The 5,660-nt window shown below is 34.6% G+C and overlaps 1 pseudogene; it reads left to right on the forward strand.

Moving 5' to 3' along the window:
* NF1P3 (neurofibromin 1 pseudogene 3) lies at positions 258-4,812 on the forward strand (annotated as a pseudogene).
* Positions 4,813-5,660: the final 848 nt, after the last annotated feature.

The following is a 5,660-nucleotide window of genomic DNA, read 5'->3' on the forward strand; positions in this document are numbered from 1 at the left end:
GCTCCCTTGTTTGGGAAGAACTGTTTTTGATATACCCTTAAAAATTCAATAAAGAAAATAGAAAAAAGATGTTTTTTTTAATTTGAGAAGCATTTAAATGATGACCACTACTTAAATTATGAAATTGAAAACCAGAAATATAAATTATGCACTCTTTATAGTATGAGTTTTAGAGGTTGTTAATTTGCTATCATATTAGGTAAATCTGGAATAGAAGAAACTTCATATATTATCTTATTGCTATATTTGAATTCTGTAGAAGTTGTTTCTGGACAGTCTATGGAAAGCTCTTGCTGGCCACGGAGGAAGTAGGCAGCTGACACAAAGTTCTGCAATTGCCTGTGCCAAACTGTGTAAAGCAAGTACTTACATCAACTGGGAAGATAACGCTGTCATTTTCCTACTTGTTCAGTCCATGGTGGTTGATCTTACGGTAACATGCTTATTCTTTCTCTACTACAAAGTTTAAGAAAATTAAATTAATTTTCTAACATAAGTATTATGTCAAAGAGAATTGCTAACATTAAAGTTCTGATTCTTCTTTGATAAGTTCATAGGACTTGCTTTTGTTGTTACTGCGTTCATCAGTCTAAATGGACTGAGAATATGAAGAAAACACTGTTTTCTTAAATGAGCATAAATATACAGACTTGGGTTTAAAATAATGTGGCAATCAGGGCCTGAAAGGAACCTATATATGGTACAGGAAGAATTGTATCAGATGGATGAACCACAGTATTGGTGCTTTGTGCTGCTTCTGGCAACTGAATTTTACTGCCATCTATGTGGATAATGTGTTGATGTTATTACATATTAGTAAAGAAATACTGCATGGGTATTTAAAGGCTTTTGTTTTCTGTTGGGGTTTTTATAGAACCTGCTTTTTAATCCAAGTAAGCCATTCTCAAGGGGCAGTCAGCCTGCAGATGTGGATCTTATGATTGACTGCCTTGTTTCTTGCCTTCGTGTAAGCCCTCACAACAACCAAGTTTAAGGTGAGGGCACTGGTTTTTATCTAACTATGTTTACTGATGCCGTTATCCTTTATAAACGGAAAGACTAGAGGGATAACAGGTTCACCTCTATCGGCATTTCTCACTATTACGTATTGATGTTCATTTCAAGACCTTAAAAACTTAGTGTTTTTTAAAAAACTTTCTGTTTGCTGTTCTTTTTGACTTCATTTGTATTACTGAGTATTTTTCTCATAGAAATAATCTGCTTTTTTTTCTTTTTCTATAGATCTGCCTGGTGCAGAATTCACATTCTACATTTCACTATGTGCTGGTAAATTCACTCCATCAAATCATCACCAATGTAAGTCCAATAGGCATTGCTAAACTACTAAAAAAAAAAATTTCATTATTTTCTTTGCATATTTCTTTTTACGAAACGCGCTCTTGGTTTTCAAAAAGGTTCTGAATTTAGATGTACGGAATAGGAAAATTTCTCCACGGTGATTATATTTGATAATTGATAAATACTTGTATTTTTCATAGTAAGCCTTGACCGAAGGGCCCATATTAAGGAAGATGGAGTTAATAAGATGCTTTGGAAAGATAAATCTAAAGCATTTTATTCAGATCAAAAGCCCTAGAGAAAAATGGCACTGAAAATATAATATAAAATTTTCATCCCAAAGCTTTTCAAACATATTATTTGAATACTCTTAGCCCTTTCACAGCATTTGATACATTGACTTGCCACCTTACCATTTAAGTTAAAAGTAATAGTATTTATGTTGTAGTCCAGTATAGCACACTGACAAAATGATGGGACTATATTTGATGGTACTTTAAAACCTTTTGATCTTAAATTTATTCATATTGTAAAATTTCATTTTTCTTAAAATAAAATATTAACATACTTTAAAAGAGGTATTCACAAGATACAAAAGCATATCAAACAAAATAAGTGAAATCATTAAAAGGTACTTGGGAAACCTTCAACTCTGATATGGTGACATTAAATAGAGAGCAAAACTTTATCAGATTTGGACTGTGGATTTTTAAAATTCTAATTATGAACAACCCAGTTTTGAAAGTTCTCAGATGTTGGCCAGGCGCAGTGGCTGATGCCTGTAATCCCAGCACTTTGGGAGGCCAAGGTGGGTAGATCATGAGGTCAGGAGTTCAAGCCTGGCCAAGATGGTGAAACCCCATTTCTACTAAAAATACAAAAAATTAGCCAGGTGCGGTGGCAGGCGCCTGTAATCCCAGCTACTCGGGAGGCTGAGGCAGGAGAATTACTTGAACCTGGGAGGCGGAGGTTGCAGTGAGCTGATATCACGCCATTGTACTCCAGCCTGGGAGACAAGAGTGTGACTTCATCTCAAAAAAAAAAAAAATGGTTTAGCACTTATTACTTAGTCATTGCTTCCATATTTGTGTACATTGCTATTGGTCCCATAAATTGATACATTTCTTGCAGTCTTTTTGGAACGCTATTTGGCAGGAGCTATACAAACATTTCATTTTTTTTGTACAAATAATTCAATTTCTATGACTTTAAAAATGTTATGAATATAACTCAAAAGGAAAAAGCTGCACACATAGGTACTTATCGCTCTTGATTACAATAGGAGAATATTAGAAGAACTTTACTAGGAGGAGAATGGGTTAATATTCAATAATGAGAATGGTATTTTAACTTGGTGAGCTGATAAACATTCATTAAAACCTATATAGGGCCGGGCGCAGTGGTTCTCGCCTGTAATCCCAGCACTTTGAGAGGCTGAGGTGGGTGGATCATAAGATCAGAAGTTCAACATCAGCCTGGCCAAGATGGTGAAACCTGTCTCTACTAAAAATACAAAAAAAAAAAATTAGCTGGGTGTGGTGGTGGACCCCTGTAATCCCAGCTACTTGGGAGGCTGAGGCAGAGAATTGCTTAAACCTGGGAGGCGGAGGATGCAGTGACCCGAGATCACATCAATGCACTCCAGCCTGGGCCACAGAACGAAGCCACGTCTCAAAGAAAAAAAAACCAAAAAAAAACCTATATAGATCTGCGGGGCATGGTGGCTCATGCCTGTAATCCCAGCACTTTGGGAGGCCGAGGCGGGCTAATCACGAGGTCAGGAGATCAAGACTATCCTGGCTAACATGGTGAAACCCCGTCTCTACTAAAAATACAAAAAAGTAGCTGGGCGCGGTGGCGGGCTCCTGTAGTCCCAGCTACTCGGGAGGCTGAGGCAGGAGAATGGCATGAACCCGGGAGGCGGAAGTTGCAGTGAGCCGAGATCGCGCCACTGCACTCTATCCTGGGTGACAGAGCGAGAGTCTGTCTCAAAAAACAATAGCAACAACAACAACAACAAAAACCTATATAGATCACATAGCAATATGGAAAAACATGATACGTCAAGTGAGTATACTGTGTTTACGGCTTCGTTAAAACGTGGAAAATACAAAAAAAAAAGGGAATATGAAAAGAAAATCAAAGCAGGGAAAAGGCTAACACGTTTTCTTTCAATATATATTTTTAAAGTTTTATCAAACAAAAATATAGAGAATTTGTCACTTGAAAAAGCTACTGCCAGTAAATTGTACCAAGTTTTGGTACAATAGTAGCAAATTTGATTTTTAATTTGTGTTGTTTTTTTTTTTGATATGAGAGCTTTAAATTAATAGTTTTTTGAGATTCTCACAATTAATTGCAATTTTCATTAAATATCTCAAAGTAATTACAATAACAATGTTTGAAATGAGATAATATGGGTCTGGCCTTTATACGTTGATAAGTTGACCAAGGGCTGAAAGGAATGTCCAGAGCTTCACAGTGTCTGCTGGGTTGGGGGTGGAGCGGGGTGGGAGGAATGTGAGTTGGGATTGTAGAATTGGAGTTAAGATAGGATCAGTTTGAAGGAAGAGTTTACGTTTTATTCTTTATATCTTTGATGGTTTTAATTTATGTAATAATCTATATGTTATATATTGTAAGTGAATTATTTAATTCCTGTTAATGTTCTCTGAACCAAATTCCAATTTCAGTTCTATGGTCCACTGAAATACTTTAGAATGGATAATCTGTTATGAAATACAAAATCCATTTTGCTTCCTCTCTCTTGATTTTGAAAAATAGTTGCTCTTTTCTGTTACGAGAGACTTTGTGGCAAGTGAGACGATTTTTACTTATCTTTTGCTGTGTGTATTAATTTTGGCAAGCCCTTCTTACTTGGGGATTAACTTTTTGTCTCACAGAGTTCTTTAATATCTGTTGAAATTATTTTGTTTGTTTCTTAAAGGAATTTTTACAGTTGTATATTGTTCTGAATTCATCATTTAGCTTTATATGGTTATGCCAGTTAGAGTAAGAATGATGAGAATAAAATGATATCATTCTGTCTATATTATTCCCTAGAGGTTTGTGTTCACCAGAGTTTATCTCTTTTTACCTTTTACTATGTATGGAAACTACAAATGAAATAGCTCAATTTCTTAGCATTTATACAGTAAGTACTCCAGCGTTATGTTTACCAAACATGTTTGAGTGAGTCTTCTCTTTGCCTTTCTCTTTTTAAAAAAATTCAGGCTCTGCTGGTTCTTCGTCAGTTAGATAGCATTGATTTGTGGAATCCTGATGCTCCTGGAGAAACATTTTGGGAGATTAGGTATATGTACTTTTATTCTTTAAATTCAACTTTTAAATTTTATTTTGTATTTTTTGTCTTGAAATATTAACTCTATAGTATTTAGTATATTGTAAAACTTATACTTCCAAAGGTTTTATGATTTTGTATTTTTTTGACTTCAAATTATTAGAATTTCTTGTTTTAACTGTAAAAAAAAGTGTCACAGCAATTTAGAAAATAAGTTTTAAGAATAGTGCTAAATTTTGTCACCCAAACAAGTACTGTTGTTTGGTATATTCCCTTTTTCAGATTTCAATGTGGTTACTACTATGATTTAAATAGATTTTCACAGTTTTAAGCCTAGAATGATAAAATTTTGTAAAAATATTGTTTTTTCAGTTTTTTAAGCTGTGTGATCTTTCACAAACTTTCTGTAATACCAATGCTTTTGATGAATGAATTAATCATGGACACCTGCTTAGAAGACAAAAATATATACAGAATTTTGTGGTCTACTTCCTAGATTATATAAGTCATTACATTTTCATGAGCATAAAGTCACCACACTGAGGAAAATGGAAATGTGTAAACCTCAAGTTTGCCATTATCTTATAGGAATAGGTGTGCTAAGTTACATGGCAGCTGAATTAAACCTTACTCTAGAGCAATGCTCTCCAATAGTAATATAATGAGAACCCCATATGTTAAAGTTTCCTACATTAAAGAGTAAAAAGAAGCAGGTAAAGTTAATTGTATTAAATTTTATTTAACCCAGTGTATATTATCTGTAATATAATTGCAACATGTAATCAATATAAAAGTTATTAATGACATATTTCATTGTCTTTTTTAAATAAAGTCTTCGAATTTTGGTGTGTCTTTTATACTTGCAGCACATCTCAATTTGAACAAGCCACACTTAAAGTCCTCGATAGCCATGTGTGGCTGCCCAGTGGCTACCATGTTAGACACTGCAGCTCTAGAGTAGGGATCAGGAAACTTTTCTCTTAAGGCCAGATAGTAAATATTTTAGGCTTTGCAGGTCATACAGTTTCTGTCATAACCATTCAGTTCTGCCTCTGAAGCA

Source organism: Homo sapiens, chromosome 21, assembly GCF_000001405.40.
Source record: "Homo sapiens chromosome 21, GRCh38.p14 Primary Assembly".
Lineage (NCBI taxonomy): Eukaryota > Metazoa > Chordata > Mammalia > Primates > Hominidae > Homo > Homo sapiens.